Genomic DNA, 14,753 nt, shown 5'->3' on the forward strand with positions numbered 1-14,753 from the left:
AAGAGTGGAGAATTTTTTTAATTTGATACTAAACACACAAAAAGGCATTCAAGTAATTTGTGGATAAAGTCTGTTGGATGGAGGGGCCCAGCGCTGGATTCCCACAACCACTTATTTATGGCTTAGTGTGGTTTGACTTTGAATCCCACAAAAGGGCGGGGAGGAGAGCGGCCCCACGGCTGCGTAGCGTTCGGGGTAAAGGTCCTAGTGGCCACTGATTCCCGGCAGCCGCTTGCTGTAACGAGGGGCTCCCGGCAACATGACGTGGGGCTGGGGGGCTCCATTTCCAAGGAAACAATGCGTGGGCGCGGGGCTCCGAGGCCCCGGGGTCCCCGGGAAGGGCTGGAGGGCCGGGGGCGCACATCTCGGGTCTCGGGGTCCGGGGACGGCAGACGCGGGGGCGCGCGGAACTGCGGCCGGGGCAGTAATCACCCCAGGGCCGCCCAGGCCGCGCCCAGAATGGCTCCGAGGCGGGGCCGGGCCGCGGGGGGCGGACGGAAGGGCCGGGGCGGCGCGGGGAGGACCCTCCCGAAGCCCAGCCGGGGCCCTGAGCTCAGAAGCCTGGGAAACGGAGGCCACGCCGGGCAGGAGCCGAGCTCGGTTTCACCGCCCCCAGCGGACCGACCGCCCCGCCTCCCAGGACCCCGAGACCCCGGACCCCGGCCCGCCCTACAAGCAGGAGCTTTGGCGGCGCGCCCGGCTGCAGCCGTCGGCCTCTGTCGCCCCCTCCCGGAGCGGAGGAGTCACGGCGGGAAACAGCCCGAAGCCGGCGGGGCCCCGAGGGGGTCCGCGCTGCCTGCCCGGGGACCCCTTTTCTTGGCAGAGAGGATACTGACATCGGTCTGGAGGCCGTACGTCAGTCCCGGGGATGTCGGGATCAGCCTTGGAGGATGCCCTCGATCTTTATCCTTTCCTATGTCCCCAGTCCCTGGCAAAAGGTAGTAGACCCAGGGGAAGGATGCAGGAAGCGAGGAAAGGAATTCCCATGCCATGAGCACCATCCTAGAGGTGTTGACACACAAACACGCGCGTGCACACAAATCCTCTAAGGTAACCACAACAACAGAACCTATGAGCCATTTGTGAATACGCCGGCACTCGGAAGTGCTGTGGACACACTCCTACTCCACCCCTGACTCACTGCGCCTGCCTCTCAGACAAGGACCCATGCCTCCCTTCAGTCCTCTCTGAAGTGGGGACCGTACTGGCATCTGCCTCATTTAGTAGCTGTGAGGATTAAATGTGGTTGAACCCGTAAACTCGCTTGAACAGCACCTGGCATTGAAAGGATTGTAGCTGGCACCCTCCTCCTCATCTTCCTCATTCAATCAGTTAGGAATGCATTCAGCTGCAAGCTCAGGAAACGCAACCGACAGTTGCCTAGATGTGCAGGTGTGTTTTTCTCCCATAACAAGGAGTTCAGAAGTCGCCTGTCAGCCTGGGAGCACAGCTCAGCGATGCGTCAGGACACTGGGCTTTCTTTCCATCCCCAATCCTCACCATCCTATTGCTGGTCTCCTCCTGGTTGCCAGATACTTGCTGTAGCTGCAGATCTCAGATTCAAGATCCAGGCAGGAAGAAGGGAGAAAGGACAGGAGGTAAAGGGCTTTCTCCTAGTAAGGGTTTCCTGTTTATTCTGGAAGGGACAGGAACCTCTTGCACTTCGATTGTCCAGAAGTGTCCATGCAGGTTATCTTCACTGCAAGGGAGGCTGGAAAATGCCTATTTTTAGTTGAAGTCCTTGCTCCTCTACCTGGAGTTAGGGTTCTGTTAGCATACGAGGGACATGGTTATTGAGTAGACAACTAACGGGACCTGCCAGTGTGCTGTTGCATGGTCTACCTAACCTCCACTCTGGAGACAGAGAAATCAGTGCCCAGTAACGCTGGAAATCTTGCCCAAGGTCACACAGCTAGTGGGTGTGACATCCCAGTCTCCTGATTCTAAGTATTAATGTTCTGTAAATCAATGACTTGACATTGATTGTTGAGGCATTTTTATGGCATTGGTTTTGAAGCACTGATGTTAATTTATGAAGCGTATTTATAATAACTGCTTTAAAATTCTTACCAGATAATTCTACCATCTGATGCATCAAAGTATCAACATCTATTTATTGTCTTTTCTCACTCGGGTGGTTTTTTTCTGGTTCTTGGTATGACAAGTGGGTTTGTATTATATTCTGGTCATTTGGTTATTATGTTCAAACATAATAAAAGATTATTACAAAACATTAAAGAATATCTCCTGTTGTAGATACTGGTTGCAGACATCTCTGACACCCAGTCTAGGCTACATGGGAGATAAAAAGAAAAGTCTAAGGAACCCACCATATTATCTTTCCTCCAGTCCTGAGGTCTCTGGCCAGTCTACCTTCTTCTACCCAACTTTCAGAGTCCTTTTATCATTGTCTGTTAAAGAATTTCCATGGTATTTAGTTTTTAGAAGGGAGGAGTAGGGAAAAGTGAGTCTACTCATTTTGTTTCAGAACCAAAATCCTAAACCCTTTTCAATAGCACATTCCAACCTACCTCTCACGAACTCCCACTAAATACCCCAAATCTACGCCAGCTCCAAGGGATTGTTTGGTCTTCTCAGGGGATGGTGCCATGTAAAGAGCTCAGCATCAGTCAGATATCCAGCAACAGAAGTAGCTAGATCAGGCTTGGTGAGATAGAGCCCACGTAGTCGGACCATATGGCCTCCCTCCTGGTCCCCTGGCATGAACATTGAGGTGACCAAGGACACAGTCTGACTCCATAGGGTAAATGACCCAGTATACCCATTCATTCAGTGTCCTTTTTGTACTAGGTGGCCTCTGGTAAGCATTGACATGAGATAGAAGATTCACATATGGCGCCTATTCCCAAGATCCCTGCACATACCTCTCTGTCTCCAGTCTTTCAACCTTATTCTCTTCCAGTTCCCTGAACAACTAGAGAAGCTTGCATTAATACCTGGACCTGCTACAGAATTTTCTCACGCTCTAAGCGTCACTCAAACCTGCCAGCCTTCCAAATCACTTCCCAAATGGATTGCAGCAGTATTCCCAAGTGAGCCATGTGCTGCCTCCAACATCCAAAGTTCCACCTAGTGCTATGTCTCTGTCCTTGTCATAGCGCCTGCAAAGAGAATAATTTGCCCTATACTTTTGAAGGTATGTCCCAGCAGACTCTACATCTTTAGTCCCCTAAGAACCTAGCCTAAGTTTTATATCCCTGGAACATCATAAGATTGGCCTCCCAATGCACATATGTCTTACCAGAGTATTCAGCATCTTTCTACTCTCCTTTTCACCAGTTCTAATCTGGAAAATATCACCATATGTTGCACCAATGTGCTTAAGGTTCCTGAGGATTATATTGTGACAGTAATCAGAGATTTGATATAGCCCTGGGACAGACAATAGAGAGAAGGTGTACTGTTGTCCTTCCCACGTAAAAGCTGTTTCAGATCTTTTCTGATGACAGCGTGATGGCTCCCCTGACTAATGTCAGCTCAGAATCTGTATCCAATCACCCTCCAAAGTATGACTGTTTCCCTTTCCCCTATGTACAGTTATCCTGGTAAATAACCATGGGCCCTTTGGGGAAAACAATGTATAATATTTATGGTATATATTGTAGTGACACTGTAAAGTCCTTCCTCGAAGGGACCTTGCTTCTCCTTTAGTCGATGGGGTCTAGGTCTATAAAAACTGGTTTAGATATGGAAACTGAATGAGGGATTGTGATTTTTCATTGCAGCATCTGATATCAGCCTTCCGTTCACCAGTCCTTGAATTATCTGTGTGCACAATCAACCAGTACCCTAATTGTCTGCTAATTTCTTGAGCCCCAAGGAATACCATAGTCTACTAGCCATCCCATAGACACTTATGTTTGGTTGCTTTTCTGGATTTTTTACCATTACAGAAATTCTGTCCACCCTACCTCTGATAGTTGAGGATCTCTATCTGAACTCTTCTATTTCAGAATCCCAGCAACCCCCATGACACTACAGAGTGTAGTTCCATGGAGTAACTTCCTACTGTTAATACCAGCTTCAGAGAACAGCCAGTATTGAGTTGCCAAAAGATGCAGACACTCCCCACACTGGTATATTTCTTATTGCTTTGGTGAAGAAAGTGTCCTCTGGGCCCTCCCAGGAAACACAGTCAAATGATAGAGTCTTTGATCTTACATAATAAATCCATTCTCACATTTCTACCTCCCTAAGCCTTCTAAGTTCCTACTCAATACTCTGCCAAGGCAAGCATAACATCTACACCTCATTTACATCATGCCCAAGCTTCGCAGTGCCATCTCAGCAGTGTATTTGAATGATTTCCAAGTATCCTTGCCAAGAAGTCAAATTCTAAGACATAGACAAGTTCCTCCAAATCAACAAACTGAATTCAATATCTCCGTGGCTTATTCAGACACATTTCTCTCTGTCGCTTGGTGACATATATTAGCCAAGACTTGCAGTTATGTTCACTAGATGCTGTTTATTCCTAGAAAAGAAACTTTATTTTCCCACTTGGGCTATACTGGGACCTGGCCCTAGTTATTTGTGTAGAGGAAATAAGAAGAGATGGAGACAGATCTTGAGAAGGACAAGCATCACATTGGAAGTCAACCATCTCAGGTGAAGACTCTGCACAGTATCCAGGTATCAGCATCCTTGGGAAAAGGGAAAGGGCTATTCCCAAGAGGGTTCTTGGGAATCTAGGTGTTCAAGCTTAGACTCATCTATCCAAATGTCCTCCTCCCAGGTTACATGATTCTACCACCCTATCAGTGCCCTGACTTAAGCACAGAAAACATATTCAGGGTGTTCCCTTTGTATTTCTGGTATAGATTTGCAGGATGTCAATACAAAACGCTTAGTTAAATTTGAATTTGAGATAAGCAACAAATAATATTTTAGTGTAAGCAAGTATGCCCCATGCAATATTTAGAACATACTTATACTAAAAGTTATTCCGTGTTTATCTGAAATTCAAATTTAACTGGAAAGCCTACATTTCATCTGGAAACCTTCCTCTTGGCACCCTTACAATCAAATCCTGGCTCTGATTTTCAGCACAGTCTGCACTAAGTTGGCAGGAGATGCGGATTTCTTTAAACACCGCCACAGATGCCTTCTGGCTCTCACAGTATGCCCTGGGGAGATAGACCTGAGCCTGTCATTCCGTTTCCCAAGTATGTGTTTAGTTGTTATGACAGTTTTTAAATAATTTTAAATACCTGAAAATTCTAACCAAGTATTTTCAGAACCTGAAATATGTTTACAAACCCTGCTTCAAAACCAGTGACCTAGCCCAGCAACCTGAGCAGGTAGGATTTGAGCCTGTCTTGAGGGTTAACCTTGGATAACTGTAGGAGAAAATGAGAAGGCACAAAACACAGCCTGACATTGCATTTCCACCCAGAACTGAAGGCACACGTGCTCCCAGGAATAGGTGGACTCATTTGGATTTGTGGGGTCAGAAAGCCATGGAAGATAGGGCTGGAAATTAATTGGGTTTGGAGTTCAGGTGGAGGCAAGCTTGGAAAACTGTAGTTCACAGAAGGGCAAGACTGAGGTGAGTATGGGGAATGGGAAGGTGAAGGTGAGGATTCACGGGTTAGGAATTGGCTCTAGGTATATTACTAGTTGGTAATGGGCTTTGAATCTGGCCATGAGTGAGGGGGAGGCCTAGGGGCGGTGATACTGCTGGATTCCTGCTGCTGGCTCTGGGGTGGTTTCAGCCAAGCCCTGTGCTGACATCAGACCAACCTGAGAGGTGCAGGCGGTAGCAGCTCGAGCGAGAGATCTTGTAACAGCTTTCACTGTGGGGAGGACATTAGCGTTACTGCAAATATTCTGCAACATTCATACAAGAGTTTAACGTGAGATATGAAGTGTGGCTTGTGTGTTGAAACTGAAATTAGGCCATCGCTATGAATTATGGAAGTGGAGAAGAAGCAAAAGGAATTGTTCCTGTAATGCCTAATTCGACCATTGTGACTTGGGAATGGGGTGATGCCCAACACCTGCTGTAGGGATGCCCACCACCTGGTATAGGGATGCCCACCACCTGCTGTAGGGATGCCCACCACCTGCTGTAGGGATGCCCACCACCTGCTGTAGGGATGCCCACCACCTGATGTAGGGATGCCCACCACCTGCTGTAGGGCACGATGCACTCAGGGCCTAACAGGGCTGCTTGCCACTGTTTTCCCCAGCATGGGCCCATGAGGGGGGCTCTGGTTTTGAATTTCTACATCTGCTCTTCACAGCTTTCCTGCTTCTGGCTGTGCCAGGCCCCATGAACCAGTCACCCCTGCTGTGGCTGTTGCCTGCCCCAGGCGCTGTGGAAATCCAGGCTCAGAGCCCCTTAGACCTGGGTTTGCCTCTGGTCTCCCCTCTCTGACTGTGTGACCTTGCACCAGTGCCTCAGCTTCCTTATCTGCACAACCCAGTTGACACTGGGGAGTTCAGATGCCCAACCCAATTGCTAATGTGCATGCCAGGCTCCCAGACCACACTTGCTGGGCATACCGTAGCCTTCAGTGAGGACTGGTTCCCTTCCTGCTGTCTTCCTTCATAACCACATGACCAAGATTTCCAGAAGTGGGTCTGGAAATTTTATTGCCTGAACTCATTCCCTTCAATTTGGACCATTTCTGCCTAATTCCTGAATCCCTGATGGTTAAAGCTCCTAATTAAGGTAATTTAGGTAAAGAGAACTGCTCATTGGCCCATGCCCCAACATGAGCTGAAGCTTCCAGAACCCCCAGAAGGCTGAGATTTCTGATGGTTTTAGATTCAAGAACTTCATTGTTCAGATTTTTCACTCCTCTTGGCTGGCCTCTCTGGTTCATTACAGCTCCCTTCAAGCACTCATCAAGATGTAGTTCTCTATGTGTGCAGATGAGGGAAAGCACATTGCCAACATAAGTGTGAGAGTCCTACACTTTCAAGCAGTCACACATGTGGGGTAGAAATTTAGGAATCCTAAATGGAATTCTGCTAAGCTTTGAGCAAAAGGGGATTACTTCTTGCTCTGTAGCACACGCATCCTAGGAGAGAAAACAAAGGGTGATCTTGGACCAACACAAGAAAGAGAAAGAGGCTGAGTTGGGGGCCACCATCTGAAAACATAGTAAGAGCCAATGAACGGCAACAGCAAGAGGAGAATGTTGGCCCACAAGCCAGCAGAGATCCCTGTGAGGACAATTCAACCCTCCCTCTCCCAGCTCCGCATTCTGTCATCCCATCAAGTCATTTCCCAAGAGACCCTGCTCTTCCAGGGAAGTGCTGTGAGCTCAGGCCACCTGGATGGTGGAGGGCAGAGCTAGCTCTGTTTGGAAAATGCCCTTCAGTCAAAGTTAAGATGAAGGCCAGCATCAAAATATGATATTATGGTTATTGAACAATATTTATTCAACACATATTTGTTGAGAGCCTACTATGCACCAAGCACCGTGGAAGGCAGCAGGACATCAGAGTGAGCATCGCAGTCCCTGTCCTCCCAGAGCTCAGAGCAGGGGAGCAACAGACACTAACCCGATAATCACACGAGCACGGGAGATAAATGATGGGCCTGATCTGCAAGAACATGCAGGAACCCCAGGGAAGCCGACAGTGGGCAGGGCTGCTTGGCCAGGACCTGATTTCTGAGGGAAGGACAGTTGAGTGGTGATCCGAACAGGGAGCAGGACTTGGACAGATGAAGGGAGGTTGGGTTGCAGGGTCATTCAGAAAAGAGCTGGAGCCCAGAGAGCAAGCGGAGGCAGCCAGGGTGGGGCTGTGCAAGTAGACCAATGTGAGCCCAGGGAGCTGCGTGTGTGTTCAGCTGCTTGGAGGGCAGTCACATGAGGCTGTGTGCTGACGAACTGGCAGGAGCAGAGTCAGGTGACAGCTCTTTAAAGGCCTAGGGCACTCTTGCATAACCCACGATCCCCCACCCAGCTGAACAACGGCAAAGCCAGAATGCTTCCAAAAATGGGGTCCCCCCTCCATTTTCCAGGTTTATTGGAAGAAAAAAAAAAGGATTCAGTGTCTGATGAAAACATATTTTCTTGTAATTTACAAGTAGTTTCCTGGATATGGCTAAGATTTGGGGCAATATTTTGCATGTGTTCTGTTTCCTGGATGGTTATCTCAAAAATCCAGAACCCTTGTTAGCCTAATGCCATATTGGCCCAGAGGGTTTAGACAGAGAGACTGAGGGGGACGGGTTTTAACTACTGCCTGCCAGAGAGCTGGAGCACCTGAGAGGGTCAGTGGATGGGAACTGCAGGCCTTTTCAGCACTAATCCTGGACTCTGCCATTGCAAAGGAAGCAGGCACGTCCAGACTCTGTGAGGCTCCTTGGTGAGCCAGAAACCTTCTCTCCCCTAAGGTTCCCTATCCACGTGCAGAGAGGAGGCTAAGCCCAAGGCCACCCCTCAGTGGGACTTGCCTGACCAGTTATCCTTGGAACTGGGGTATGCCCAGGCAGTGAAATTAAAGGGTGCTTCTCTGAAGCCCATCTTTGGTGGTGAGCTTCCTGCTGGCATGGCCAAGTGAACCATCCTTTCCTCCCTCTCATGCCAGCCACTAAGTCCCAGCAAAGGCTGAGTCTCCAGACGGCCACTATTACGACAAGGAAGTAGGGAGGGGACTCTGCTGTCCTCTGGTGTCCACCCACCAACCCAGACTTTAACAGTGTGGCTTGTGAGGCTCAGGGCTGAAGAGATCGGCTGCCTCTGACTCATTGTGTGATCTTGGGTAAACACCATCTGACTCTCTGGGCATCAGTTTCCTCCTTTAGAAAGTGAACAAGGAAGGGTAGGTCTCAGGGCAGGGTAAAACGTCAGGGAGGTAGAGGGTACCAGCGACGGGCACACTGGGGAGCCCTGAGAAGAAGCTGGGGAGGCAGGAATACAAAGATAAAATCTATTCTCTGCTACCATTTGACATTGTTTATTAAATTTTATTCTTTATTTATTTAGTTTTTTTTTTTTGAGACAGAGTCTTGCTCTGTCACCCAGGCTGGAGTGCAGTGGCACAATCTCGGCTCACTGCAACCTCTGCCTCCCTGGCTCAAGCGATTCTCCTGCCTCAGCCCCCGGAGTAGCTGGGACTACTGGCGCGCACCACCACACCCAACTAATTTTTGTATTTTTAGTAGAGACAGGATTTCGCCATGTTGGCCAGGCTGGTCTCGAACTCCTGACCTCAAGTGATCCGCCCGCCCTGGCCCAAAATGCTGGGATTACAGGCGTGAGCCACCGCGCCTGGCCTTATGAAATTTTAAATGTGTACACCCCTCCTCCAAAAATACATATTAATTACAGGGGGGAAGGGAGTAACTTGCCCATGGAGAAGGCTGGAAGACAGCACCTTAGTCTGGGGATCCCAGCAGCAGTAAGGAGACATACTGCAGCCATGCACCAGCTGACAGGACACAGGGAGAGGACCCGGCCTCACTTCTGCAAGATGATTCTCCCAACCATGCAAAACCTGAGTATAATCATGGGAAACAGCAGACCAACCCAAATTTAGGGACAGCCTAAAAAATAAGTGGCTTAATATTTAAATAGCAAAGCCATGAAAGTCAAAGACAGAGGAACTGATCTGATTTGAAGGAGACTTAGAAATGACAACTAAACAGAACATGAGATTCTAAACTGGATCGTTTGGCAACAAAAAATTACGGAGACAACTGGCAACATTTGAAAGGACTCCGATGATTAGATGATAGCAACATATCATGTACAGATGTTGATGGTTGGATTGCAGTTTAATAGAAGGTTGTCCTTGTTTGTATAAAATACACTAAACCCTCATGTCAGAAACTCCATCACAAATGGCTAGGGGAAGGTAGGGTTCTTTGTGTTATACTTGAAACTTTCTGTAATTTGGGGATTGTTTAATCATTTTAAATGTTTATAATTCCAGGGCCGGGTGCAGTGGCTCACACCTATAATCCCAGCACTTTGGGAGGCCGAGGAGGGTGGATCACGAGGTCAAGAGATCAAGACCATCCCGGCCAACATGGTGAAACCCCGTCTCTACTAAAAATACAAAAATTAGTGGTGGTGTGCGTCTGTAGTTCCAGCTACTGGGGAGGCTGAGGCAGGAGAATTGCTTGAACCCGGGAGGCAGACGTTGCAGTAAGCCGAGATCAAGCCACTGCACTCCAGCCTGGCAACAGAGCAAGATTCCATCTCCATTAAAAAAAAAAAAAAAAGTTTATAATTCTAGAATTTTCTCTTAAAATTGTATACATCCTTTGACTCAGAAAATCCAAATCTATAGGCTTTTAGTCTACAGATATATCAGTATGTATGTACAATGATATTCATGTGTCATCCTATGTATGATAGGTGTCAATAAGAATTATCTAGGATGATATTTATGGCAGAATCATTTAAATAGCAAAAAATCAAAAATTAACTGTCCATCAATAGAAGACTGGTAAGTAATTATGGTAACTCACACATTGGATACTCTGCAACCAAAAAAGGATGAAGTAGATCAACAGGAATAGTAATTAATATTTACCAAGCACTCACCACATGGTGTCTCACCCAAGCTGCAGGGATATTGATTCACAACACCCTTATGTGTAACTCCCATTACTATTCTCATCATGGAGAAGAGAGAAAAAAGTCAGTAGAAGATTCAGTAACAGGTCCAAGATGACACAGCTTGTGGGCCACACTCCTAGTTGGAATTCCGACTCTTGCAGTTGGTTTGAGCCCACATGCTTAACCTCACACACACACACACCATTCAGAAAGAATATAGAAGACACCATTAATAATGATTGCTTTCTGGTCATGGAGGTTAGTAATGGAATAAGAGAGAATTTGGCTTTTCATTTTATACTCCTTATATTCTTTACTATATACCTTATATATCAGCGTGTGTCAGTTGTATATTTTTTAAAACCACTACTTCAAATAAATAAGCACTAAAGTATTAAAAACATTTTTAAAAACTTCTGCCCTTAAGGAACTTAAGTCCCTACATCAACTCTTAAGGGATTTATTAATCTTAACAAGTAACAGTAAAGTATATGGCAAGGAGGTAAGGAAATGAAAAACATAAGCACCAGATCATATGGGATGTGGAAATACTGGCTTCAGTGTAAGCTTCACTCTATTCCAGGGTTCACACTCAACAATTGATGGTGTTTGGTAAGAGCACCTGTCTCAAAGCAGCCCAGGGGCCTGAAATACCCTGATTCACCTACAGTGTTCCCCTGGGCTCAGCAGGCAACAACATTCTTTTTTGTTCTTTTGCAGCCTTTTGAAAGCTGTTTACAAATAATCTAATGTGATATCACAACAATCCTATAAGGTTTTGATTCCTCTTCTGTTAAATGGAGATACTAGTATCTATTCATTCACCTAATGGCTTTATTCCTATCATTTTGCAGATAGGAAAACTGAATTGCAAAAGCGGTTCCTGGAGAACAGAATGTGAGTTTTTAAGTGACAAGGGAGAGGGAGGGGGAGGGAGAGAAAATTCTGAAGCGCCCAGTCTTGGAGGATGAGGGAGGAGGGCAATTCCCTAATGTCCATTGGAATTCGGAAGGACAGGCAGGCCGGGCGGACTGGAGACGGCGGCTCGCCTTGGGACCCTCTGAGCTTGCGGGCCCCGCTGAGCACCCAAAGGCCGGCCCTAGAGTCCAGGAGAAGAGCGCAGCGGCGCGGAGCTCCCAGGCGTTCCCCGCAGCGCGTCCTCGGTCCTGGAACCACCGCGCCGCGCGTCCTGGCTTCCACATCTGCCCCATTTGCCCGCGGATCTTGACTTTTTCTTGGCGGGCAAGGCCTCGGTCTCCTCCCCGCAGCAGGGCTGCCCGCGGCTGCGGGACCCTCCTGGTCCTGATGCCTGGCAGAATCGAAGGGGTGAGGGTACGCTCTCTGCAGCAGAAAGCCCTGGGCTTAAAGTCCTATTTATTATTTGGCGTTGCCACTTACTGGTCGGTGGCTTTGGTAGGGCGCGTTTCTGAGCCTCAGTTTCCCCATTTGTAAAGCCGAAGTACATAGCGCTTTCCCTGCAGAGTTAGAAATTTCGACGATGTGCCGCGCGCTCTAGAGCGCGCTCAGCAAGCGGGTCCCACCGTGCCCAAGGCAGGACCGCGGCGCGATGTCACCTATGCAAAGTCGCCGCAACTCACGGGAATCGCAGCTGTGTGCTCAACTTTCCCCTCCCCGCCGCCGTCTTTCTCCCCAAACTGGCTTGGGGGTCGAGTATCCGGGGCTCTCCCCCGCACTGGCGCTTCCCGCGCGGGCGCCCCAGGTGTCCGTTCCGTTCCGCCCTCTGCCTGGCAGGGCATCCAGAGGTGTCCGCGCTCCCGGAGCTGGGCGGAGCGGGGCGCAGCCCACGTGGTTCGGGCGGGAGGCGCCGGGACGTGGCCAGTTGCCCGCCTGCCCCGGAGAGCCAGGCGCTAACCAGCCGCTCTGCGCCCCGCGCCCTGCTTGCCCCCATTATCCAGCCTTGCCCCGGCGCCCTGACCTGACGCCCTGGCCTGACGCCCTGCTTCGTCGCCTCCTTTCTCTCCCAGGTGCTGGACCAGGGACTGAGCGTCCCCCGGAGAGGGTCCGGTGAGTGCACTGAGAAGAGGGAACAGCGGGGCCAGGGTGGCGCCCAGGACTCGGGGCTTAGGCTTTGGGGGGTGCGCGGTGTCGCGTGCAGACCCACTGGTGTGAAAACGCCCCCAGCCGCCAGCCTCCCGGCCTCGGTCCAGGCTGGTGAGGACAGCGCGTTCCCAGCCACCCAGCCTTAGTCCCCCAGGCTTCACCTGGATTCTTTGAGCAGACTGCTCTGGGTGCAGGCACGGGTGGGAGTGGGATGGCGGGGGATCCCCATTTTGGGCAAAACGGTTGGTTTTAATCAGAAGCTCCATTGCCTCCATTGCGAGTCTGCCATGCAGACTGGGCCAAGGCTGCTGATGCCAAGTAGGCTGGCCCCAGGGGAAAGGTTTCCTCCCAGCCCAGGAGCTGGTCTTGGGGTGAGGAAGAGGCCAGATGATCTTGGCCTGGGAGGAGGCACCTGGCTTCCTCTGGGCGTCTAAAAGTCTGTTTTATTGGAATCACCTTTTGTTTGCAGACAGACTCCCTGGGCCCACCAGGGAGGTGTGGGAAGTAGAGATGTGGGAAGGGTCTGTGAGCTGTGAGCACCTGTGGGCTTCGTCCCTACTAGCCCCAAGTCCCTACAGGAACGGAATCTCACTTGTAAATCCCTTCCCCGGGCTTAGACACCGCGTCCCACTGACATTAACTGGCACTGGAAACTCCACCTCACTTCCACACGGAACTTGGGACAGGTCCTTTTTTAGATGGTGTGACTGGTATCTTCTTCACTTATTTCTTTCTGAGGGAGTGAAATGACAGTCGGGGGAGAGCAAGGCTCCCAATAGGTGCAAAGGCCAGCATTGCTGGGGGCTGTGAAGTCTCAGGAAAAGGCTTCTGGACTTGCAGACCGCGTTGCTGAGCAGTGACATTGACACCCCGGGTTCAGCTGTCCTGCATCTGTCCTAGGAAACCCATCCCTCCAGCTGGCCTGCATCTGTCCTAGGAAACCCATCCCTCCAGCTGGCCTGCATCTGTCCTAGGAAACACATCCCTCCACCTGCTCATTGGCGGGATTCAGCTGACCTCAGTAAGGCCTCAGCCTTCCTGGGCCCAGCCCCCTCCCTGCCCAGGACCGTGCTCCTTAGTATCTAAGTACCAGGCATGGGTCACTGTGCTCCTGGCCCTCACTCAGGCTCTAAGAACAGTAGCAGGTGCCTCAGAGGATTGACTGAGGACACATTTAGAGAACATGGGATGGTGCCCGGCACACACATGGGGAGTCAGTGGGTCTTACTGAGTACGACATGAGTGACTCAGAAAAAAATTAAAACAAACCAGCTGAATGTGTGCCCAGTGAGGGGCTGGAGGTGGTGGAAGTGTCCCAGAGCCCTGTGGGCTAATGGGAAAAGTGAAATTGGTGCCTTTCAACCACAATGCAATAACGGCTCAAATAAGCCCCAGTCTCAGTGGTTGGGGCAGCCTTCTAGGGCCAACTGTCTTGTTCTTTTCAGAAGCAACCTCTGGAGGAACAGTCTTTGCCCCTACTCCTCCCCACTACCCCCACACCATCACTCCCCCTCTTAATTTCAACATCCTGGCATCATCCAGGGCTGGAGAGGGCCAGAGAGGTCTTGGAGCTCAGCCATTGTCCATGGTACAGATGGGGAAACTAAGACCCTGAGAGGAGGGGCATCTTTCCCAGGTGGCTGGGCTGGCTGTGCCTGAACTGGGATGGGAACCCAGCTCCCACCTCTCAGCACCATCCTCCTACAGCCTCACCTGGGACCCATCCTTGCGGTAGAGACTAGCACTGAGGCTTTAGGTGTAAATGCAGAACTCATGTCCATTTATAAATGAGGTTTACCACCAACTCCCCAGAGAACTGGGAGAGCAGAGGGGATGGCAAGTTGGTGGGCAGGTGGCTGAGGGGCAGAACACCCTCCCAGTGCTGTTGCTGCTGGGGCCATTCCAGACCCTTGTGGCTACAGCACAGATGTGCCTGGTTCACTTGTAGGGAAGGGAGTGGCCCTTCTAGGTGGAAATGTGCTCATTTAGCCACTGATGAGAGCTGGGGGTCAGTGCCTACTGATGGGCCCCACCTATAGAAATAACCATACAGGCTGACCTGGACGGCAGCATTCGGGAAACAGCCACAAAGGATTAAGGCAGAGGGCACTACAGTTGTCATCTCTGCCACCTCCCCTTTATCAG

General features: G+C 49.9%; 1 protein-coding gene and 1 long non-coding RNA gene across 16 annotated transcripts in view, besides 3 other annotated features; one reads left to right on the top strand and one right to left on the bottom strand.

The window, feature by feature from the left end:
• Window positions 322-731: a silencer, noted in NCBI's record as "silent region_12477". NCBI's record gives its function as "represses an Ori minimal core promoter by ATAC-STARR-seq in GM12878 lymphoblastoid cells {active_cell/tissue: GM12878}" and the evidence as "EXISTENCE:reporter gene assay evidence [ECO:0000049][PMID:35858748]".
• Window positions 752-831: a silencer, noted in NCBI's record as "silent region_12478". NCBI's record gives its function as "represses an Ori minimal core promoter by ATAC-STARR-seq in GM12878 lymphoblastoid cells {active_cell/tissue: GM12878}" and the evidence as "EXISTENCE:reporter gene assay evidence [ECO:0000049][PMID:35858748]".
• Window positions 10,835-12,283, bottom strand: LOC105373957 (uncharacterized). The gene is made up of 2 exons (XR_001739962.2): window positions 11,946-12,283; window positions 10,835-11,856 (listed from the first exon to the last, which is right to left on the bottom strand). It is a non-coding gene; the product is annotated as an uncharacterized LOC105373957 (long non-coding RNA).
• Window positions 11,253-12,221: an enhancer, noted in NCBI's record as "H3K4me1 hESC enhancer chr2:238394761-238395729 (GRCh37/hg19 assembly coordinates)". NCBI's record gives its function as "activates a minimal SCP1, AML or CMV promoter by ChIP-STARR-seq in primed H9 embryonic stem cells {active_cell/tissue: H9 hESC(primed)}" and the evidence as "EXISTENCE:reporter gene assay evidence [ECO:0000049][PMID:30033119]".
• MLPH (melanophilin) overlaps window positions 11,545-14,753 on the top strand; it is a 68,913-nt gene continuing 65,704 nt past the window's right edge. For 14 of the 15 annotated variants that reach the window (NR_104019.2, XM_017004893.2, NM_024101.7 and 11 more), the window contains exon 1: window positions 12,386-12,572. The gene's annotated coding sequence lies outside the window, so the exon portion shown is untranslated. Of the gene's footprint in view, window positions 11,874-12,385; window positions 12,573-14,753 lie in introns of those variants that run through there. The other variant, NM_001281474.2, reaches the window with a different exon arrangement.

Source organism: Homo sapiens, chromosome 2 (genome assembly GCF_000001405.40).
Source record: "Homo sapiens chromosome 2, GRCh38.p14 Primary Assembly".
Taxonomy (NCBI): domain Eukaryota; kingdom Metazoa; phylum Chordata; class Mammalia; order Primates; family Hominidae; genus Homo; species Homo sapiens.